The 22645-nt window shown below is 53.6% G+C and overlaps 1 protein-coding gene and 1 non-coding gene across 2 annotated transcripts, besides 8 other annotated features; both read right to left on the reverse strand.

Annotated features, from left to right (window-relative positions):
- Window positions 677–10084, reverse strand: EEF2 (eukaryotic translation elongation factor 2). Its single transcript, NM_001961.4, has 15 exons — window positions 9999–10084; window positions 8757–8971; window positions 7731–7912; window positions 7428–7639; window positions 6867–7045; window positions 6568–6673; window positions 5960–6073; window positions 5462–5600; window positions 5135–5330; window positions 4429–4687; window positions 3950–4057; window positions 2440–2793; window positions 2049–2231; window positions 1836–1968; window positions 677–1368 (listed from the first exon to the last, which is right to left on the reverse strand). Exons 1-15 carry the CDS (start codon window positions 9999–10001, stop codon window positions 1175–1177), a joined length of 2577 nt encoding a protein of 858 aa, NP_001952.1. The 5' UTR covers window positions 10002–10084; the 3' UTR covers window positions 677–1174.
- Window positions 2021–2230: an enhancer, noted in NCBI's record as "active region_13746". NCBI's record gives its function as "activates an Ori minimal core promoter by ATAC-STARR-seq in GM12878 lymphoblastoid cells {active_cell/tissue: GM12878}" and the evidence as "EXISTENCE:reporter gene assay evidence [ECO:0000049][PMID:35858748]".
- Window positions 6094–6945: an enhancer, noted in NCBI's record as "H3K4me1 hESC enhancer chr19:3981471-3982322 (GRCh37/hg19 assembly coordinates)". NCBI's record gives its function as "activates a minimal SCP1, AML or CMV promoter by ChIP-STARR-seq in naive H9 embryonic stem cells {active_cell/tissue: H9 hESC(naive)}" and the evidence as "EXISTENCE:reporter gene assay evidence [ECO:0000049][PMID:30033119]".
- Window positions 7128–7193, reverse strand: SNORD37 (small nucleolar RNA, C/D box 37). The gene has a single exon (NR_002602.1). It is a non-coding gene; the product is annotated as a small nucleolar RNA, C/D box 37 (small nucleolar RNA).
- Window positions 8650–9501: an enhancer, noted in NCBI's record as "NANOG-H3K27ac-H3K4me1 hESC enhancer chr19:3984027-3984878 (GRCh37/hg19 assembly coordinates)". NCBI's record gives its function as "activates a minimal SCP1, AML or CMV promoter by ChIP-STARR-seq in naive H9 embryonic stem cells {active_cell/tissue: H9 hESC(naive)}" and the evidence as "EXISTENCE:reporter gene assay evidence [ECO:0000049][PMID:30033119]".
- Window positions 8795–9014: an enhancer, noted in NCBI's record as "active region_13747". NCBI's record gives its function as "activates an Ori minimal core promoter by ATAC-STARR-seq in GM12878 lymphoblastoid cells {active_cell/tissue: GM12878}" and the evidence as "EXISTENCE:reporter gene assay evidence [ECO:0000049][PMID:35858748]".
- Window positions 9880–9989: a silencer, noted in NCBI's record as "silent region_9865". NCBI's record gives its function as "represses an Ori minimal core promoter by ATAC-STARR-seq in GM12878 lymphoblastoid cells {active_cell/tissue: GM12878}" and the evidence as "EXISTENCE:reporter gene assay evidence [ECO:0000049][PMID:35858748]".
- Window positions 10270–10319: an enhancer, noted in NCBI's record as "active region_13748". NCBI's record gives its function as "activates an Ori minimal core promoter by ATAC-STARR-seq in GM12878 lymphoblastoid cells {active_cell/tissue: GM12878}" and the evidence as "EXISTENCE:reporter gene assay evidence [ECO:0000049][PMID:35858748]".
- Window positions 12336–12837: an enhancer, noted in NCBI's record as "H3K4me1 hESC enhancer chr19:3987713-3988214 (GRCh37/hg19 assembly coordinates)". NCBI's record gives its function as "activates a minimal SCP1, AML or CMV promoter by ChIP-STARR-seq in primed H9 embryonic stem cells {active_cell/tissue: H9 hESC(primed)}" and the evidence as "EXISTENCE:reporter gene assay evidence [ECO:0000049][PMID:30033119]".
- Window positions 12838–13337: an enhancer, noted in NCBI's record as "H3K4me1 hESC enhancer chr19:3988215-3988714 (GRCh37/hg19 assembly coordinates)". NCBI's record gives its function as "activates a minimal SCP1, AML or CMV promoter by ChIP-STARR-seq in primed H9 embryonic stem cells {active_cell/tissue: H9 hESC(primed)}" and the evidence as "EXISTENCE:reporter gene assay evidence [ECO:0000049][PMID:30033119]".

Below are 22645 nucleotides of genomic sequence, written 5' to 3' on the forward strand. Positions count from 1 at the left end.
ACAATCCCAACGCTTTGGGAGGCCAAGGCGGGTGGATCACAAGGTCGAGTGATCAAGATCATCCAGGCCAACATGGTGAAACCTCATCTCTACTAAAAATATAAAAATTGGCTGGGCGTGGTAGCACACGCATGTAATCCCAGCTACCCAGGAGCCCGAGGCAGAATTGCTTGAACCCGGGAGGTGGAGGTTGCAGTGAGCAGAGATGGTGCCATTCCACTCCAGCCTAGCAAACGGTGAGACTCCATCTCAAAAAAAAAAAAAAAAAAAATGGGTTTCTAATAAACTAGTCAGGACTGGGGTGACCACAGAAAATCCTGATGGCAGATAGAACTTGTGAGCTCGTCAGCAATTCGGAAAGTTGCTGAAACCTGCGAAGTTCAATCCAGAGCCCCTCGCTCCACAGGGCCATCCAAATGCGTTCAAAGTGACATCTCGTAATTCCTTGCCGCACTGATCCTACTTCAAATGCTCAGCAGACCCGCGCAGCTGGCAGCTGCTTCTCTGAATGACACAGGGGTAGGGCATTCCCACCATTCCAGAACGTTCCACCTAACACTGAGGCAGCCCCAGGCTGCACCTAACTAGGGCCCGGGTCCCCTTCTAGGCTCCAGGGAGCCCAGTACTGGGCAGCCCCGCTCCCCTGCGAAGACACCGTGAAAAATGCAGAACAGAGTCACCACCTTATCAAATTTATTATTCCAATGGCACTAGTACAGCTGGAGGTGCTCATGGTGACACCGCACAGGACTTCCTGCCTGCTAGAAATCATCTACCCGCGTGTTCCTTTCCCCTTTCTGGGGCAAAAGCCACTGCGGGCCATGTACCCAAATAAACCTCTTAATGCGTTTGTTAAAATTAGTTTGGACATCTGAGTTTCCCTCTGAAGAAATGGAAAAAGTGTTGGGTGTCCCATCCCGCCTCCCCCTCCCCGACCGGCCCATTAAGTCCCTACTAAGAGGGCGTGTCTGCTGCCTCCGGACTCTGGAAATAAATATTGAAAGAAACGGCATCAAGTGTTATGGTTGAGTGATGGCACGCAGCGGGCCCCAGAAACCTCTCAGGGGAGCGTCGCTGTGTCGGGACAGTCTCCAGGTGTCGTCTGAGAATTCGAGGACGTGGTGCTGTGGGTGCTGCGAGTCCCCGGGGCGGCAGGCGCTGCAGGAAGGGCCGCCTACAATTTGTCCAGGAAGTTGTCCAGGGCAGGGATGCCTTCTTTCAGGCCCTTGCGCTTGCGGGTCTCCGCCACCACCTGGCTGGGGCGGCTGCTGTTGTCGAAGGGGTCTCCGGGCAGGATCTGCCAGTGGTCAAACACACACTGGGGGAACGCCTGGCCGCCCGTGTTGGACCTCAGGTCAGCGGTGAAGCCTGCAGAGGGAAGCGAGAGGCTCACTGGGCCATCGAGAAGGTGGCAGGGCAGAAGGAAAGTCCTGTCAGGAGCTCAGGCTAGTTCCTCAGCCTGAGTCACCCTGCAGACCAGACACTCGGCCTGGTGCCCAGCACTTCACGAAGGGCCTAGCAGGCCACTCATGGGCCTCATGCCGCTGCTCGTTTGGGACAACCCTGTGCTACAGCTCGGCTGCTCTACCGGCCCAGGGCGTAGGCCTTCAGAGCTCCAGGCCCAGAGCCCTTCTCACACTGGGGATAGGAGAGCCCCTCCCCTGGGAATTCAGTGATTTAGGGGGTCCACAAGCTGTCAGAAACTGGACCACCTGCTCCATCCATCACCTGCTCCCATCAGGACGCCTCCTTTAACACCTTGCTAAGCTTAACTGGGCTTCTGTCCCCCAAACCAGCCTGCCAGGCTCTGCAGGCCACACCGGGCAGGCACTCACCAAAGGACTCGTTGACGGGCAGATAGGCCTTGACCACAAACATGGGGGTGCCGGCCACCTGGGACTCCTCGAACACGTGGCCCCGCTTCCTGTTCAAAACCCCGTAGATGCCACCGACCACCTGCTCTGGACACTGCCAGAAGGGAAAGAAAACCTGTCAGTGGCCGCTGGGCAGGACGGTGGCAGGGTCAGCGGTGGGCGGGTAGACCTCACCTGGATCTCCACAAGGTAGATGGGCTCCATGAGGCGTGGCTGGGCGGTCAGCACACTGGCATAGAGGCAGCGCCGTGCTGTGGGGATGATCTGGCCCCCTCCGCGGTGGATGGCGTCGGCGTGCAGGGTGACGTCGTGGACGTCGAAGCGCACACCCCGCATGTTCTCCTCACACAGTGCGCCCTGGGGGAGGGGGAGAGCCACCGTCAAGGGCCGGACACACCTCGGCTGCTTGCCCTCCACCTGCCAAGTCCTGCAGGTCTCCACCAGGGGGACCTGGGGCCTTGCCCGCCTTGGCCCCATTAGGGTCTCTGTCTCGGGAGGCAGGACCATGAGGTCCCTCTAGAGCCTGGAAACGGGTGTGGTCTGCACATGCTGAGCCGTGCCTCACCTCCTTGGTGGCCCACTGGAAGCCGGCCACCACACTGTCCTTGATCTCGTTGAGGTACTGCACACCCTTGGTGATGTCGGTGAGGATGTTGGGGCCGGTGCCGTCGGGCCCAAAGCACCAGATCTTGCGGGCCTCAGCCACGTCCCACTCGTACTTCTCGGCCAGGTAGCGCGCCCGCTGCTTGAGCTCCTGACGGGCGGACACCTCGCCTTTATCGATGTCCTCGGCCAGGCCGTCGGGGAAGGGCCGCGCCTTCATGTACAGCCGGTTGTGCTTGTTGGGGGACTTGGAGAGGCAGAGCACGTTCGACTCTTCACTGACCGTCTCGCGGTACGAGACGACCGGGTCAGATTTCTGCAAAAAGAGGTTAAGTCCCACTCTTGCCTGGAGAAAGAGGTGACCTTACACACAGACGCATCCTTAAAAGCTTTTCCTAGCAAGGCGGACCTCATACAGCCTGGTAGAGCCACGTCAATCAGAACGAAGCGGAGTCAGTGTTGCAGTGCCAAGCGCATCTCACTCCAGACAAGGACAAGGAGCAGGGGCTCCACTGAGCTCTCCGGCGCAGAAACCACGGGCTTGTGGAATTTTAAGCATTAACAGGGAAGAAACGAGGTCTGGAGCAGGCCTGTCCCAACCCCTCCAGAGCATTTGTGTTGTTTGTGGACAGAAGACAGCAGGATGTAACTCAAAAACTGCCCCGGAGGCCGGGCGTGGTGGCTCACGCCTGTAATCCCAGCACTTTGGGAGGCCGAGGCGGGTGGATCACGAGGTCAGGAGATCCAGACCATCCTGGCTAACACGGTGAAACCCCGTCTCTACTAAAAATGCAAAAAATTAGCCGGGCATGATGGCAGGCGCCTGAAGTCCCAGCTACAGGAGGCTGAGGCAGGAGAATGGCGTGAACCTGGGAAGCAGAGCTTGCAGTGAGCCAAGATCACGCCATTGCACTCCAGCCTAAGCAACAGAGCAAGACTCTTGTCTCAAAAAAAAAAAAAAAAAAAAAAAAAAAATAGCCCTGGGCCAGGCATGGTGGCTCACACCTGTAATCCCAGCACTTTGGGAGGCCGAGGCAGGGGGATCACGAGGTCAGGAGATCGAGACCATCTTGACTTACTAACACAGTGAAACCCCGCCTCTACTAAAAATACAAAAAAAAATTAGCCGGGCGTGGTAGCACGCGCCTGTAGTCCCAGTTACTCAGGAAGCTGAGTGAGGCAAGAGAATCGCTTGAACCCGGGAGGTGGAGGTTCTAGCGAGCCAAGATCACGCCACTGCACTCCAGCCTGGATGACACAGCGAGACTATCTCAAAAAAAACAACAACAACAACAAAAACAGCCCCACATGCCTGTGGAAGACTGCAAAGAAGAAACTTGAGGAACTTAAGAAGCTGAGACCAAGACCGAGATCAAGTCTAGGCGTCTGCAGAGCCTAGCTCAGCTCAGCTTTAAAGCAGAGGGCAGGTGTCCGGGGTGGGGCGTGGGGAAGGCTGGTCACTGGCGCCTCACCTTGATGGGGATGCAGGCGTGGTCCTCCTCCAGGTCCTTCAGGCAGATCTCCAGGTGCAGCTCGCCGGCGCCCGCGATGATATGCTCTCCCGACTCCTCGATGATGCACTGAAAGGGATGCGGGTCAGCACCAAAGGGGTAGGCGGCTCGGAACAGGCGGGACCAGGCTCCCAGCTTCCCTTTAGCTAGGGACCCCGCCAGAACAAGATTTCAGGGAAGGTGCTGGGAAACTGGGACCAGCACAAACTCCTGAAGAAATGTTAAGTCCCACAAGCTACAGTGAACACGCGCAGAGCAGCCTAGGAGAGGGTGGTGGCTGCCTGGGCAGGAGTCTCCATTTACAGCCACAGCCAAGAACCCCTCCTTTCATGACCAGTCACCCCAATCCACCAACCACAGCAACCCACACAGCCACAACTCAGGACACAAGCCGTCCCCCCTCAGGGTGTCTGCTCCCAGCAGGTGCACTCCGTGCCCACCTGCACCATGGGGTCGGACTTGGCCAGCCGCTTCAGCCCCTCCACCAGCTTGGGCAGGTCAGCCGGGTTCTTGGCCTCCACGGCCACTCTGACAACAGGGCTGACGCTGAACTTCATCACCCGCATGTTGTGCGCGTGCTCGAAGGTGGTGATGGTGCCCGTCTTCACCAGGAACTGGTCCACGCCCACGAGGCCCACAATGTTCCCACAAGGCACATCCTCGATGGGCTCCACGTAGCGGCCCATCATCAAGATTGTTCTGGAAGAAGCAGAAGGCGGCAGCAGGCCGCAGGGATGGTTGTGCTGGACCCTGGAGGGCCAGGGCAGGTCCCTCCCGGAGTTGGTGGCCCTCCTGCCAGGTCCCAGGGCAGACTGGTGGCTTCCACAAGGCCCTGACTGCTGCGTCGGGGCTGTCAGGAAACATCCTCTTCAGAATCACTGCCCTCCTCCCTGGGTATGGGTCGACGGCCGCCACCCACCTGTGCCCAGGGACACAGATGAGCAGGGGTGTGCTGTGCCCTGGGGCTTGGAGCTTCTCCAGAAATGCCCTCACTGGGCTAAGAACAAAAGTTGTGGCTGGCACAAGTATCACCCTATATTCCTTCTATGCTCCTTACTTCTAGCTCCCGACTGAGGAGCCCAAGACTTGGAGCAGGGCAGGGCCCGCAACAGTGCCAAGGGGCCTGCACATCACCCAGCTGCTCACCTCTGGATTGGCTTCAGGTAGAGGTCCTCCTTCTTCCCAGGGGTATAGTTGGGCCCCATGATCCTGACCTTCAGGCCAGTGGAGACCAGCCCCGAGAAGACTCGTCCAAAGGCGTAGAACCGACCTTTGTCGGAGGTTGGCACCATTTTGGAAATATACATCATAAGAGGGCCTTTGGGGTCACAGCTTTTAATGCCTGAGGGACAGAGAAAACCCGCAAGCTTTATTCCAGTGCAGCTCAGCCTTCTGGAACCCTGCAACCCACAACCTTGGGCAACAGGAAGTCATCCGGCTGCATCTCAGGGCCCGGCCACCGGGACCACGTACCCATGGCAGCCTCGTCGTCCGGGGGCCCCTCGTACAGGAGCTCGCAGCGGTACTTCTGGGCCGTCACAGGGGAGGGCAGGTGGATGGTGATCATCTGCAACAAGGCGTCTCCGGCAGGCAGCCAGCGGCGCATCACAGCCTGCGGGGGCAGAGAGCGGTGCATGAGACACCTGGGGAGCCCAGGATGGCCCCACCCCGTACACGCTTCCTCTCTTGAAGCCAAGGAAGCCAAAGTCAGGACTAACGTTCTCCAAAGCACAGTCCCTTCTGGAAGGCGGCAAAGGCCATGCACACTCCTGCCAAGGCCCTCACCCACACCTGTCCCGGATGGGGCTGGCTGCTGGGATGTGTCTCCAGCAGCACCCAGAGTCTAAAGCGAAAGGGGCAGCAGCTGTCCCTGCCCAGCTGAGGACTTCAGCCCCCAGGCCTGGGCTGTCAGAGCATCCGGAAACAGCAGCCTGTGTTCCCTCCACCCCGAGGGCTGGGCCCAGGCCGCACCTTCAGCAGGGGTTTGCCTTCTTTGTCCTTGTCCTCGCTGTCCAGTTTGATGTCCAGTTTCTCTATCAGTTTTGCTGTCTCCTCTTTCTTGAAATTCATGATCGCATCAAACACCTACATTCCCCACCAAGAAACAAGAAAGCCCATTTGGGAACAGCAGGAGGAAGCCTGGCACTGCTTCCTGCTTGGAAGACTCAGGTCAGCGCAGGGGGACGCAGCACGGGAGCAGGAGCAGGCCTGGCCTGCCTACCACGGGCCCAGCCAGCTGAGCGGATCGGGAGCTGGAGGAAACCTCGTGGTGGAGCAGAGGAAAAAGCCCACTCTGACTCAGACAAGGACCCAAGTTCTGACTTACAAGCACTGAACCGCCAAAGCCACAAGTTATTCAACCCCCTCAATGCAGGAGAGGTCCCAAGGCTCTGGCTATGCAGTCCAGATCTTAAGAGAGGAGCCCTGACTCCACCTCAGTTAGGAGCTGTGCCTCCTCCCATCTCGCATCTGCCCCACAAGGAGACGGGCCCAGTCAGCCGACAGGCTACCGGCCGGAGCCCACAGGGCCGAGGGCCAATAGTCGCATCGGCGGGGTGCCTGGCGCAGCCCTCACTCACCTTGAAGATGGGGTCCAGGATCAGCTGGCAGAAGGTGCGTGGCAGCTTCTTCCCTTCGGGGCTGGTGGCTGACTTGCTGAACTTGCCGTTGGCTGGGTCAAAGTACCTGGCAAGGAGAGGCCAAGCCAAATCAAGTTAGGGTCTCCAGGGGATGACTTGGGGAGGGTGGTCGCCAAGGGGACATGCTTGGGCAAGACCTGGTGGGCTTGAGCCACGCTGTGAATAGCACACCACGCCCCTACGTCGCTGCCACTACCCCCAGGTGTCAGGAATCCCCCACCATATCCCGCGGGGCTCACCTGTCACCCCACAGCTTCTTCATCATGTCCTCTACTTTCTTGGCCCGCTCGGCAGGCCCCAACTGGCCCTCCCCCTTGGCGGCGAACTTGGCCACATACATCTCGGCAAACTGCTTCAGGGTGAAGGCCCACCCGTGGAGGCCAGACCCAAAGCCCACGGTACCGAGGACAGGATCGATCTGGAAGTGTGAGAAACGAGAAGCAGCCGTGAGGGCCCCTGCGCAGAGCCTGAAGCTACGGGCTGGGCGCCTTGGGCATGGGCCTCAGACGCAGGCTTTCTTCAGTAGACATCTGGTCAAAGTGAAGAAATGATCAGTCATCACGAATAGGGGGGCCAGCCCCTCCACCACCCAGGGCAGCGTTCCCTGAGCTCGTCTCTTCCAGCTGCCCAAAGATCAAGGGCTGGGTCAAGTCGGATGAAAACATTCCAGCCCCCTTCTCTGTCACCCAACATTCCTGGCAAAAACACACTTCCAGTCCCCCTCAGCTCAACTCCACTCCCCACCGGCTCCTGCAGATCCCGCTGCGGCAAGCCCACCACCCAGCTAGGGAGGGCCGTACCATGATGTTGCCCATGGGGCCGCTCTCGCCCTCGCCGTAGGTGGAGATGATGACGTTCACGTTCTCCACGATGCGCTGGAAAGTCTGGTAGAGCTCCTCGGGCTCCAGCTGCAGCTCCAGCAGGGCGCGGTCCATCTTGTTCATCATCAGCACAGGCTTGATGCGCTCGGCAATGGCCTGCCGCAGCACTGTCTCCGTCTGCACGCACACGCCTGGGGACACGGGGGACAGGGCGGCGCTGTCATCCTCAAGCAAGGATGGCCCCCGGTTCCAGGCCGTGCCTCAGGGGGACCCACTGCTTACCTGACACGCAGTCCACCACCACCAATGCGCCATCGGTGACTCGGAGGGCAGCAGTCACCTCCGAGGAGAAGTCGACATGCCCGGGGGAGTCAATGAGGTTGATGAGGAAGCCGGCACCGTCCTTGCTCTGCTTGATGAAGTTCAAGTCATTCTCCGAGAGCTCGTAGAAGAGGGAGATGGCACTGATGGAGGGAGGGACTCGTCAGGGGGACAGGAGCCACACACCTGGCCCAGGGAGTCTGGGATGCTGTCAGAAGCCAGGCTGCTCCTCCCTCCATGACTCATCCCTGGAGAGGCTCCCACAAGAGCCAACCCACCCTTGTCCTTTGCCTCTGTCCGAGACATGCCACCCCCATGACAGGGAACTCCTGGTACCAGCCCCATAGCCAGATCCTCAGAGCCCTCCTGACCAGACATCCTGCCCCACCGACTTGGTCCCAAGATTCATCACACCTGACTCAAAGTAGCAACTAAAAGACCCAGCAGGACGGCAAAAGCCTCCAGAGACTCCGACCCTCCCCTCCTCACTTCTGCCCCTGCTCCAGGGGAAATGAAGAGCCTTAGCCAGAGTCCCTCACCAATGTACCAACCCAGGACAAAAAGCAGTTGGGGTCACCGTACTCTGCGCTCCCCCTACTCATATCGGGGCCAGAAACTGACATGGAATGAACATCATCCAGTGCAACACAGGAGCTTCCCAGCGTCCCAAGCACTAGAACACCCTCCCCTCCCAGGTGTGACAGCCAAACCTCTCCAGATATTGTAGGAGTGGGGGCAAGTCCCCCAGGGAGGGAGAACCACGGAGTTAAGCCCCCTCCTCAAGAAAACCTTCCAGCTCGCAGTACCCCGAATCCCTGTGCCTCTCCATCCTGTCTCGCTGGACTGAACCTCACTCATTCTCCCATGAATTAAGAAACCAGGGGAAAGAGACGTTGCCAAGTCTCTCCCCGCGCACCCTGGCCCAGTGGCCTCCAGCTGCCAGGCCAGCACCTCCCTGCCTGGGTACAGAGGGCACAGGGAGCTCACGTTGACTTGATGGTGATGCAACGCTCCTGCTCGTCCTTCCGGGTATCAGTGAAGCGTGTCTCCCCGGCCCGGGCCGAGGCGATGATGCCCGCCTTGCACACCAGGGAGTCTGTCAGCGTGGACTTGCCATGGTCCACGTGGGCGATGACAGACATGTTGCGGATGTTGGCCTTCTTGTCCATGATGGCGCGGATCTGGTCTACCGTGAAGTTCACCTGGGCAAGACAAGGAGGCTCAGACCAGCTCGTGATTTCCAGGAACACAGCATGGCACGGAGCGTTCAGTCCAAACGAACCAGCATGCCCAAGGCCAGGAGGGGGTTGGTGCTGGGGTGCCCCAAGCCCACCGAATCTTGCCAGCCTAACACCCCTTAAGAGCCACCCCGCAATCTCCAAGGAACCACCGTTAATAGGTGTCATTCATGATTGACAACCCAGAAATAAAAGTGCTCAGGAATAAAACTGAGTGTCAACAGATTTCCTTGATACCAGGTACAAATACTAAAGTCTCATTTGGGGCCAAACACGTAAGGGATGAATCCTCTCCTAAAGCCCCCTCCACGTTGTCACCGGGCCACCCAAACTTCCCCGAGCAAGAAGCTTCATCATAAAATGCAAGGTCACCCCTTGGCAAACGGGATCAGACAAGGCCACCCACCCCAGGAAATAACGGGGAGCCGGAACGGCCCTAACTGCCACAAGCCTACACCTCGTGTCTCAATAAGAGTCTTTGTACATCTGGGAGTCATAGGAAGGACAAGTGCCTAAGGTCGACGATTAACAGCATCAGGAGAAGGTATTTGGAAGGAAAAGGGGAGCCTTTCAGGTGTCGCTTTGCTCGTTCTGCCATTCCCTGCCGCCCCTAGTCCCCCGGCAGAAAATCGATCTCAAACTCGCGGCCCGCGGGTTACATAAGGCGCCTCCCTGTCTCCCCGCTTCCACCGCGGTGCCCGCCATTACTACGCCTGCCACATCATCATTCCCCACCCCCATCCCCGCTAACAACCCAGCTCCAACCAGGTCTGGGCAAGGTTATGGCGCCCTCGGAAACGGAGAAAGGGCTCGGTGAACAGCGCGGCGCACAGACATGGCGGCGGCCGCTTCCCCAGCCCCGGGTCCTCCGGCCCCGCCGCCGCTACGTCTCCTCCTGGCACGGGGGGCCCCAGCGTCCCAGGCTAGGCAGCGTAGGCCCCGCGGAGGCCCCGCCGCCGCTCCGGGGCACCAGCGAGGCAGGGTTACTCACCATGGTGGCGGATGGCGGTGGATTCTCCCAGGTAGAACCGAAAGAAGCGAGTCGCGCCGAGGATGGCGGCGACGACGGCGGAAGAGAACGCTGACGTCAACACTCAGCTTTTTATAGGCGGACGCCGGTTGGGCGGGTCATGTGACTGCGCTGCGAAGGCGGGGCGAAGGGACGCCGCGCAAGCGCACGGAGGCGTGTCCCCCCGCCCGTTAACCCATTCGGCGCCGGCGCGGCGCTCTAGAATAGAAGCTGGGCATCTCGGGGGCGGTGGTCGCCCTCGGTGTGCAGTGTTCAGGTGCACAAAGTAAAGAGCGCCGTTTTAGCTGAGAACGAGAACCATAGCAACGATATTAGCTTACAAGTTGTCCAGTACTTCTATTAAAACCAATTTACAAGGTGAATAGAGTCTGTGGATTATACCCAAGTCAATTTCCCTGTTTGGACATTGTTACGTAAGACGATACCCCTGGGAGAAGCCGAGGGAAAAAGGACACTCGCGACCACTATACTGTTTTTGCAACTCCTTACCTGTAATTATTTCTAAATAAAAACTTTATAAGAAGCAGGCATCGGAATCACTGATCCCACAAATGCATACTGAGCATCTATACACCAGGCATTGTTAGGGGTTTTGTAGATATAGCAGTGGACCAAACACCTTGCTAGCTTGACCACACTGCGTGTTCTTCTACCAGCTACTAGGATTTCTCTGTGCCTCAATTTCACCTGCTCGGAGGTGATCAATACCACCCTATTGTTTGGGGGAGAGTGAAACGAACTAAAGACATCTAAAAGAATTAGGACCGTGCCTGATACCCAACGCTCAATAAACGCTATCTATTTTAATTAGCTAAGATTGCTATTAATAAAACAGTTATTTATTTCAGGACTGGTTTGCCATGTCCCAGGCACCCGGCTAAGCGGTTTACTGGCACAATTTCATTTTCTATTTCATTTCCTCTCCAGGGGGAGGCGCAGGAAGACTGTTTAGCATTTGTGTCCTAATCTGACCCTAAGAAACAGTTGAATGTATTTCATATCTCATGAATTGGCATTCAATTGTGTAACTCTATCCCTTATGAAAAGCCCAACCCGCTGTTTAGCACATAGTAGGTACTCAGCATTTCTTGCATGAATGATGTTCTCACAGTGCAAATGAACCCCCTGCGGTACATCTTTCCTTAAACTCACTTTGTGAAACAGGAGAGCCACTGCAGTGCTTTTCCTGGGCTGGGAGAGGGGGAGGTGTGGATCCACAAAAAGCAATGCAAATTCCAGCCTGGACTCTAAAATAAACCTGTACACTCCTCCCCCTCACGAATGCTTCGGGCACTTTGCTTTACAAAGCGCTGTCTCAACCTTGGGTTTCATTTAACGGATGATTGCTCTTCCTATCACCATTTAACCCAGTGGAAAACTGAAAAGTATCTTCCGAAAGGATTGAGGCTCTGAAAGGCAGAGGGCGCGGCAGGGAGCAGATGGGAGCGCCCGGGGTCCCTAACCACCTACACCTGTACCTGTGACGCGTTTAGTTAAGTTGCAAGTCAAGCGCATGCGCCATTTGGGGCATGAGTTTTTAGCAGAGGGGTAGTCAGTTTCGCATTATTAATAATAAAATTCTTCAAAATTTTTAAATGCACTGAGCACCTGCTACGTGTTGCGTTTCCTATTGGGGGCTTCGCAGCCGTTTTTTCCGTGCAAAGTGGGAGCATTTCAGAGATGTAATGGAAAGGTTTTCATTAAAAGAGGTGTCAGGCGAGAGGCGGAGGTTGCAGTTAGCCGAGATCGCGCCACTGCTCTCCAGCCTGGCGACAGAGCGAGATTCCGTCTCAAAAAAATTTTTAAAAATTTTAAAAATTAAAGAGGGGTTAGGCTGCTTGCGGTGGATCACGCCTGTAATCCCAGCACTTTGGGAGGCCGAGGCAGGCAAATCACCTGAAGTCAGGAGTTCGAGACCAGCCTACCCAATATGGAGAAACCCCGTCTTTACTAAAAATAAAAAAATTAGCCCGGCGTGGTAGTGAACGCCTGAAATCCCAGCTACTTTGGAGGCTGAGGCAGGAGAACCGCTTGAACCCGAGAGGCAGAGGTTGCAGTGAGCCGAGATCACGGCACTGCATGCACTCCAGCCTGTGCGACTGAGAGTAAGACTCTGTCTCAAAAAAAAAAAAAAAAAAAAAGGAGGGGGGGCTGTTCACAGGTATCCCGGAACTTAATAAAAGAGGGGTTGAATTTCTTCTCAAGTGCATGGGTTGCTTATTGAAAAATTCTAACATCATGTAATTTAAAGAACTAGGGGGAGAGCTTAAGGGAAAAAGGGGAATTTTCAACCCCATAACTGCAGGGATGGAGCCAGGTGTTGGCAGGGAAGGATCTCTCCCACTGTCATCCCCACATCCATGAAGAGCAGAATCCTGGAGTACCACAAGCAGCCACAACCAGGTCAGCTGTAATAAGTACAATAATAAATATACGCTGGGTCTTTTAGGGTGGGGACCAATAAAAAAATTCACCTCTGCAGAGAAGCTCCGCTGCGCATGCGCCTGCTGCGGCGCCAGGAGAGCTCAGAGACCGCAGTAGCGGCCCCTGCTGACCGACAGTCGCCAGTGCAGGCCTCTCGACACTGCCTTTTTTTTTTTTTTTTTTTTTTTTTTTAAGACCAAGTCTCGCTCTGTTGCCACGCTGGAGTGCAGTGGTGCGGTCTCAGCTCACTGCAGCCTCCGCCACCCGATTCAAGCGATTCACCTGCCTCAGCCTCCCGATTAGCTGGGATTACAGGCGCCTGCCACCACACCCGGGTAATTTTTTTGTGTTTTTAGTAGAGACAGGGGTTTCACCATGTTGGCCGGGCTGGTCTTGAACCCCTGACCTCGTGATCTGCCCGCCTTGGCCTCCTAAAGCGCTGGGATTACAGGCGTGAGCCACCGCGCCCGGCCAACACTGTCTTTTAACAGTTTATTGAGCGTTTACTAGGACCTGACCTCACGGTCCTTTAAATCAAATACTTCAGCTAACCTACCCACACCCTGGGCTTCGGGTGGCCTCCTTTACGCCTGAGAAAATGGAGACTCAGATAAGTTAAGTCATTTGCCCACGTTCACAGAGCTAGTAAAGGTGCAGCCAAATCCGACTCAAGTAGTGGTTTAATCGGGAAGGAGCCCGGTCCTGCAACCGTTGTCTAGATGCATTTCAGATTTGGGAAAACGGGCCGGGCACGGTGGTTTATGCCTGTAATCCCAGCACTTTGGGAGGCAGAGGCAGGCGGATCATGAGCTCAGGAGATTGAGACCATCCTGGCCAACATGGCGAAACCTTGTCTCTACTAAAAATACAAAAAAATTAGCTGGGTGTGGTGGCACGTGCCTGTAATCCCAGCTACTCGGGAGGCTGAGGCACGAGAATCGCTTGAACCTAGGAGGTGGAGGTTGCAGCGAGCTGAGATTGTGCCACTGCACTCCAGCCTGGGTGACAGAGAGAGACTCCGTCTCAAAAAAAAAAAAAAAAAAAAAGGCCGGGCGCGGTGGGTCACGCCTGTAATCCCAGCACTTTGGGAGGCCGAGGCGGGCAGATCATGGGGTCAGGAGATCAAGACCATCCTGGCTAACATGGTGAAACCCCGTCTCTACTAAAAATACAAAAAATTAACCGGGCATGGTGGCAGGCGCCTGTAGTCCCAGCTACTCGGGAGGCTGAGGCAGGAGAATGGCGTGAACCTGGGAGGCGGAGCTTGCAGTGAGCCGAGATCGCGCCACTGCACTCCAGCCTGGGCGACAGAGCGAGACTCCATCTCAAAAAAAAAAAAAAAAAACAAAAAACGTGGTGGCTCACGCCTGTAATCCCAGCACTATGGGAGGCCAAGGCGGGCAGATCATGAGGTCAGGAGTTCGAGACCAGCCTGGCCAATATGATGAAACCCCATCTCTACTAAAAATACAAAAATTAGCTGGGCATGGTGGCAGACACCTGTAGTTCCAGCTACTCGAGAGACTGAGGCAGGAGAATTGCTGGAACCCGGGAGGTGGAGGTTGCAGTGAGCTGAGATGGCACCATTGCACTCTAGCCTGGGCAACAGACCAAGACTCTGTCTCAAAAAAAAAAAAAAAAAAAGTGGATTTTGTCTTTTAGATGATTAAACAAATGGGTTCAGGGAGGCCTGGTGAGTCTGTGTAGTAAGAACAGGCGCAATGGCTCACGCCTGTAGTCCCAGCACTTTGGGAGGCGGAGGTGCGTGAATCACTTGAGGTCAGGAGTTGGAGACCAGCCTGGCCAACATGACGAAACCCCATCTCTACTAAAAATACAAAAATTAGCCGGGCATGGTGGCAGGCGCCTGTGGCCCCAGCTACTCAAGAGGCTGAGGCAGGAGAATTGCTTGAACTCAGGAGGCCGAGGTTCCAGTGGGCAGAGATCACGACACTGCACTCCAGCCTGGGTGATAGTGGGAGACTCCACACCCTGAAAAGAAAGAAAAAAGGCCGGGCGCAGTGGCTCATGCCTGTAATCTCAGCACTTTGGGAGACCGAGGAGGGCGGATCACAATGTCAGGAGTTAAGACAACAGCCTGGCCAGCATGGTGAAGCCCCGTCTCTACTAAAAATACACAAATTAGCTGGGCATGGTGGCGCGCCTGTAGTCCCAGCTACTCGGGAGGCTAAGGTAGGAGAATCGCTTGTCCCCGGGAGGCAGAGGTTGCAATGCGCCTAGATCGCGCCACTGCACTCCAACCTGGACGACAGAGCGAGACTCCATCTCAAAAAAAAAAAAAAAAGAAAAAGAAGATAATTGAAACAATTACCCTCCCAGGTAGAAAGTCCCTGCTGATGGGGTGCATCTGTTCAGCAGCGGTGTTGAGAGCTCAAGCTCTTTTTAACGCTTTGCCTTGCTGTCTCCAAAGTATTGCCTTCATCCTCATAGTTCAAAGTGTCCACCATCACATTCACGTTTCAGCCAATAGGAAGAAGGAAAGAGAAAAACAGGAAAAGAGTTTACATGCCACTCCTGCTATTGGTCAGAATGTGTCACGTGACCATACTCAGCTGCAAGGGTTGGTGGGAAATGTAGTCTTTTTTTCTGGGAGGCCATGTGTTCGGCTTAAAATTGTCTTTTTTTCTTTTTCTTTATTTCTTTTTTCTTTTCTTTCTTTTTTTTAGACGGAGTTTTGCTCTTGTTGCCCAGGCTGGAGTACAGTGACGCGATCTAGGCTCACTGCAACCTCCGACTCCCGGGTTCAAGCGATTCTCCTGCCTCAGCCTCCTGAGTAGCTGGGATTACAGGCGCACACCACCACGCCCAGCTAATTTTTTGTATTTTTAGTAGAGACGGGGTTTCATCATTTTAGCCAGGCTGGTATCGAACTCCTGACCTCAGATGATCCACCTGCCTCGGCCTCCCAAAGTTCAGGGATTACCAGCGTGAGCCACCACGCCCAGCCTTTTTCTTTCCTTCCTTCCTTCCCTCCTTCCCTCCTTCCTTCCTTCCTTCCTTCTCTTCCTTTCTTCCTTCGTTCCATCCTTCCTTCCTTTTTTTGTTCCTTCTCTCCTTTCTTCCTTCTTTTTTTTCTTTCCTTACTTGTTGTTTCTTTTTTCTTTTCTTTTTTGTTTTTCTGAGACAGAGTCTTGCTGTGTTGCCCAAGCTGCAGGGTGCAGTGGTGCATTCATAGCTCATTCTAGTCTTGAACTCCTGCGTTCAAGCAATCCTTCTGTTTCAGCCTCCATATTGGCAGGCACGCACCACCACATCCAGGTAATTTTTAAATTTTTTTAGAGTTAGAATCTCACTATGTCCCCGAGGCTGGTTTTGAGCTCCTAACCTCCAGGAACCCTCCTGCCTCTATCGATTTCTTTTATTTTATTTTTTGTAGAGACAGGGTCTTGCTGTGTTGCCCAAGCTGGTCTTGAACTCCTGGGTCCAAGGGATCCTCCTACTTCAGCTTCCCAAGGTGCCGGATGACAGGCATGAACCATTACACTCAGCCAGTTTTTTTGTTTTCCTTTTCACAAAGCACCAAAGAAGAAGCACAGTTGTGTTGTTTGTTGTTTTTTTGTTTGTTTGGGGGTTTTTGGGTTTTTTTGAGATGGGGTTTTGCTCTTGCTGCCCAGGCTGGGGTGCAATGGCGCGATCTCGGCTCACCACAACTTCTTCCTGGGTTCAAGCGATTCTCCTGCCTCAGCCTCCCAAGTAGCTGAGATTACCACGCCCGGCTAATTTTGTATTTTTTGTAGAAACGGGGTTTTTCCATGTTGATCAGGCTGGTCTCAAACTCCGGACCTCAGGTGATCCACCCGCCTTGGCCTCCCTAAGTGCTGGGAATACAGGCGTGAGCCAATGCACCCGGTCTAATTTTTGTATTTTTAGTAGAGACGGGGTTTCACCATGTTGGCCAGGATGGTCTCAATCTCTTGACCTTGTGATTCGCCTGCCTTGGCCTCCCAAAGTGCTGGGATTACAGGCGTGAGCCACTGCGCCCGGCCTTTTTTTTTTTTTTTAATTGAGATAGCGCAATCTCAGCTCACTGCAACCTCCCTTTCCCAGGCTCAAGCAATTCTCCTGCCTCAGCCTGTTGAGTAGCTGGAATTACAGGTGGCCGCCACCACGCCTGGCTAATTTTTGTATTTTTAGTAGAGATGTGGTTTCGCCATGTCAGCCAGGCTGGCCTCGAACTCCTGACTTCAGGAGATGGGCCCACCTTGGCCTCCCAATGTGTTGGGATTACAGATGTCAGCCACCATACCCAGCCTTTTTTTTTTTTTTTTTTTTTTGAGATGAAGTCTCACTCTTGTACCCCAGGCTGGGGTGTAATGGCATGATCTCGGCTCACTGCAACCTCTGTCTCCCAGAATCAAATGATTCTCCTGCCTCAGCCTCCCGAGTAGCTGGGATTACAGGCGCCTGCCACCACACCCAGCTAATTTTTGTATTTTTAGTAAGGACAGGGTTTTATCATGTTGGCCAGGCTAGTCTCGAACTCCTAACCTCAGGTGATCCGCCTGCCTCGGCCTCCCAAAGTGCTGGGATTACAGGCGTAAGCCACCGCACCTGGCCTGTTTTCATTTTTAAACTTTTTTTCTTCTTTCAACTTATTTTAAGATCTGGGGTACATGTGCAGGATGTGCAGGTTTGTCATACAGGTAAATGTGTGCCATGATTGTTTGCTGCACAGATCAACCCATCACCTAGGTATTAAGCCCCACATCCCTTAACTATTCATCCTGATGCTCTCCCCGCCCCCCACCCCCACGTCCTAAATTTTTTTTTTTTTTTTTTTTTGAGAAGGAGTCTTGCTCTGTCGCCCAGGCTGGAGTGCAGTGGCGCCATCTCAGCTCACTGCAAGCTCCGCCTCCTGGGTTCACGCCATTCTCCTCCCTCAGCCTCCCGAGCAGCTGGGACGACAGGCGCCCACCACCACACCTGGCTAATTTTTTATATTTTTAGTAGAGACGGGGTTTCACCGTGTTAGCCAGGATGGTCTCGATCTCCTGACCTCTTGATCCACCCACTTTGGTCTCCCAAAGTGCTGGGATTACAGGCAGGAGCCACCGCGCCCGGCCAATTTTTTATTTTTTGTAGAGACAGGGCCTCCCTACGTTGCCCGGGTTAGTCTTAAACTCCTGGACTTAAGCAATCCTCCAGCCTTAGCTGCCCAAAGTAAGGGTATACAGGTGTGAGCCACTGGGCCTGGCCAACATTTCTTATTCTGAAATAATTATAGATTCAAAGGGAGCTGCACATATAGGACAAACAGGTCCTACGTGCCTGTCACCAAGCTTCCCTCAGTGGTCACATCTTATGTACAACATCCGAACAAGAAATATGACATTAGTACAATGTGTGTATACATTTCCAAGTTATTGTAGCTGGACACTGTGGCTCATACCTGGAACCCAGCACTTTGGGAGGCCAAGGAAGGAGGATCCCTTAAAACCAGGAGTTTGAGACCAGCCTGGGCAACATACTGAGACCCTATCTCTAAAAAAAAAAAAAAAAATTAGCTGGGGGTGGTGGCACATGCCTGCAGTCTCACCTCCTAGGGAGGCTTGAGCCCAGGAGGTCAGGGCTGCAATGAGCTATGATCATGTCACTGCACTCCAGCCTGGGCGACAGAATGTGACTCTGTGAAAACAAAAACAAAGGCTGGGCGCAGTGGCTCACGCCTGTAGTCCCAGCACTTTGGGAGGCTGAGGCGGGTGGATCACCTGAGGTCAGGAGTTTGAGACCAGCCTGGCCAACATGGTGAAACCCTGTCTCTACTAAAAATACAAAAATTGGCCACGCGTGGTGGTGAGCACCCGTAATCCCAGCTACACGGGAGGCTGAGGCAGGAGAATCGCTTGAACCCGGGAGGCGGAAGTTGCAGTGAGCCGAGATCACGCCACTGCACTCCAGCCTGGGCAACCAGAGCAAAAGTTTGTCTCAAAACGTATGTATAAATAAATAAAACAAAAACATACAGAACTATTTCATCACCACAAAGATCACTCTTCTGTTACCTCCCTATTGTCACAACTATTCCCCTCCCCATGGCCCTGCCCTGATCCCTGGAAACAACTGACCTGTGTTCCAGCTCTATAATTCTGTCATTTCAATAACCTTTTTGTTGTTGTTCTTGTTGTCATTGTTTCGAGACGGAGTCTCACTCTGTCGCCCAGCTGGAGTGCAGTGGTGCAATCTCAACTCACTGCAACGTCTGCCTCCCGGGTTCAAGTGATTCTCCTGCCTCAGCCTCCCGAGTAACTGAAATTACAGATACCCGCCACCACATCCAGCTAATTTTTGTATATTTAGTAGAGACAGGCTTTCATCATGTTGGCCAGGCTAGTTTTGAACTCCTAGCCTCGAGTGATCCACCCGCCTTGGCCTCCCAAAGTGCTGAGATTACAGGCGTGAGCCACAGTGCCCAGCCCAGATTGGCTTTTGCCCCCCACTCAGCAGAATGCCCTTGAGACCCTCTTGTCCTTTCTAAATTAATGGCAATATAATAATATTTCACAATTCCTGAGGGCTTACTGTGTACCAGACACTGAGCTAAATGCTTTATGGCCCTACAATCACCCTGTAAAATAGATACAATTTGTGGTGCCCAGCCTGCACGATTGTCCCAACGAATCTGCCCTCCTGACATCCGGGTATGACCTGCTCACATTGAACAGGGCTGAGCTTTATAGGATGTTTTGAAAATGGGAGCGTGCAGGCCGGGCGCGGTGGCTCACGCCTGTAATCCCAGCACTTTGGGAGGCCGAGGCGGGCGGATCACGAGGTCAGGAGATCGAGACCATCCCGGCTAAAACGGTGAAACCCCGTCTCTACTAAAAATACAAAAAATTAGCCGGGCGTAGTGGCAGGCGCCTGTAGTCCCAGCTACTTGGGAGGCTGAGGCAGGAGAATGGCGTGAACCCGGGAGGCGGAGCTTGCAGTGAGCCGAGATCCCGCCACTGCACTCCAGCCTGGGCGACAGAGCGAGACTCCGTCTCAAAAAAAAAAAAAAAAAAAAAAAAAAAAAGAAAATGGGAGCGTGCTGTTTCAGGTTAGGCTATACAAGACATCGTGGCAGGTCCCAGTAGCTCACATCGTAATCCCAGCCTTTTGGAAAAGGGGAGGATTGCTCGAGGCTAGCAGTTCAAGACCAGATTTGGCAACATAGGGAGACCCCGTATCTACCAAAAAATCTTTTTTTTTTTTTTTTGAGACAGTGTCTCACTCTGCAGCCAGGCTGGAGTGCAGTGGCACAATCTCGGCTCACTGCAACCTCTGCCTCCCAGGTTCAAGTGATTCTCTTGCCTCAGCCTCCCGAGTAGCTGGGACTACTGGTGACCAGAACCATGCCCAGCTATTTTTTTTTGTATTTTTAGTAGAGATGGGGTTTCGCCATGTTGGCCAGGATGGTCTCGATGTCTTGACCTCGTGATCCACCCGCCTCAGCCTCCCAAAGTGGTGGGATTACAGGCGTGAGCCACCGCGCCTGGCCCTCCAGAAACCTTTTTTAATAAGCTGGGCATGATGGTGCACCCGTGTAGTCTCAACTACTTGGGATGCTGAGGCAGGAGGGTCACCTGAGCCCAGGACTTTTTTGTTTTTTTTTTTTTGAGACGGAGTCTCGCTGTCGCCAGGCTGGAGTGCAGTGGCACAATCTCAGCTGACTGCAACCCTCCACCTTCTGGGTTAAAGCAATTCTCCTCATCTCTACAAAAACTGCAAAAAAATTAGCTGGGCATGGTGGCGTGTGGCTATAAAACCAGCTACTCAGGAGGCTGAGGTGGGAGGATTGCTTGAGCCTAGGAGGCGGAGGTTGCAGAGAGCCAAGATATTGCCACTGCACTCCAGCCTGGGTGATAGAGTGAGACTCAGTCTCAAAAAGAAAAAAAAATAGTAGGCGGGTGGTTATTCCTATGAAAGAGACTTCTGTGTCCCTGAGAAAATGCCCTGAGGGTGGGGTGGTGGGAGAGAGAACAAATTCCTTAACTCCCAATTCAATTATTTACTTATTTATCTTTAGACAGCATCTCACTGTTACGCAGGCTGGAGTGCACTGGTGTGATCATAGCTCACTGCAGCCTCGACCTCCCAGGCTCAAGCAGTTCTCTCACCTCAGCCTCCCGATTAGCTGGGACTACAAGTTCACGCCACCATACCTGGGTTTTTTGTTGTTTTTTTTTAAATTGAGATGGAGTCTCGCTCTGTCGCCCAGGCTGGAGTGCAGTGGCGCCATCTCGGCTCACTGCAAGCTCCGCCTCCCGGGTTCACACCATTCTCCTGCCACAGCCTCCCCAGCATCTGGGACTACAGGCGCATGCCACGACACCCGGCTAATTTTTCTGTATTTTTAGTAGAGACAGGGTTTCACCGTGTTAGCCAGGATGGTCTCAATCTCCTGACCTTGTGATCTGCCCGCCTCGGCCTCCCAAAGTGCTGGGATTACAGGTGTGAGTCACCACGCCCGGCCATACCTGGGTATTTTTAAGATTGTTGAAGAGATGGGGTCTATGTTGCCCAGGCTGGTCTTGAACTCCTGAGCTCAAGCAATCCTCCTGCCTCAGCCTCCCAAAGTGCTGGGATTCTAGGCCTAAGCCCCGGCGCCCAACCTGTCCCCCAATTAGATTATATTTGTTTATACAATCTGTTTTATTTATTTATTTACTTATTTATTTTATTTTTTTGAGATGGAGTCTCGCGTGTTGCCCAGGCTGGAGTGCAGCAGCATGATCTCAGCTCACTGCAACCTCTGCCTCTCGGGTTAAAGCGATTCTCCTGTCTCAGCCTCCTGAGTAGCTGGAATTACAGGTGTGTGCCACTATGCCCGGCTAATTTTTGTATTTTTAGTGGAGACAGGGGTTTCACCATGTTGCGTGGGCTGGTCTCAAACTTCTGACCTCAGGTGATCCTCCTGCCTCGGCCTCCCAAAATGCTGGGATTACAGGAGTGAGCCACTGTGCCTGGCCTACAATCTGTTTTAGAGCCAGAAAATGCAATCAATTGTGATAATACATTGCTATGTTTTGAAATACATATATACAAACGTGCACACAACTTTATTTAAATTTAAGATGCTTTTAATATTCAGCTAACACCAAATTCACAATTTGATACTTTTTTTTTTTGGTAAAGATGGAGTCTCCTTCTGTCACCGAGGCTGGAGTGCAGTGTCCTCATCTCGGCTCACTGCAACCTCTGTCTCCCAGGTTCAAGAGATTCTCCTGCCTCAGCATCCTGAGTAGCTGGGATTACAGGTGCGTGCCACCACGCCCCAGTAATTTTTTTTGTATTTCTAGTAGAGACAGGGTTTCACCATGTTGGCCAGGCTGGTCTCAAACTCCTGACCTCATGATCCACCCGCCTCGGCCTCCTAAAGTGCTGGGATTACAAGCTTGAGCTACCGCGCCCAGCTCATAGGTATTTTTGCCCAGGAAACAACTCCATTTACTTAAGTGCAAAACGGGAGTAACTATCTGTATCTATATCTACCTCTCTCCATCTATCTCTATGTATCTTACATAACAGTGGAGGTGGTTTGTGAATTTTGTCAGAATTGCAAAGGATCTGATTTAGAACTGATGAATTCTGTCCTAAAACAGGCTGTAAAGCTTTAAATTGGTCGTGTGGGGATTTTCCATAGCCTCCCTCTCCTCTTTCTTGTCTGTCTACCTCCCATCAGTGTCTGAACATGTTCTGTATTTAGCCTTTTTTTTTTTTTTTGAGATGGAGTCTCCCTCTGTTGCCCAGGCTGGAGTACAGTGGTGCCATCTCGGCTCACTGCAAGCTCCACCTTCCGGGTTCAAGTGACTCTCCTGCCTCAGCCTCCCAAGTAGCTGGGACTACAGGCGTGTGCCACCACGCCCAGCTAAATTTTTATTTTTGGTAGAGATGGGTTTTCACCATCTTGGCCAGGCTGGTCTCGAACTCTGGGCCTCAGGTGATCCGCCCATGTCAGCCTCCCAAAGTGCTGGGATTACAGGCGTGACCCACCACGCCGGGACCTTTAATTAGCTTTTGATTTTGTTTGTTGTTGATCTCCCTCCTGGAATGCCAGTTCCACGAGGACAGGGAATTTTGCCTGTTGTGGTCACCACTGTGTCTGAGCATCTCTAACAAAGACTAGCAAGCTACAGCCCTCAGCCCTAATCTTTTTTTTTTTTTTTTTTTGAGTCTCGCTCTGT

The sequence above is a fragment of the Homo sapiens genome, chromosome 19, assembly GCF_000001405.40.
Source record: "Homo sapiens chromosome 19, GRCh38.p14 Primary Assembly".
Taxonomy (NCBI): Eukaryota; Metazoa; Chordata; class Mammalia; order Primates; family Hominidae; genus Homo; species Homo sapiens.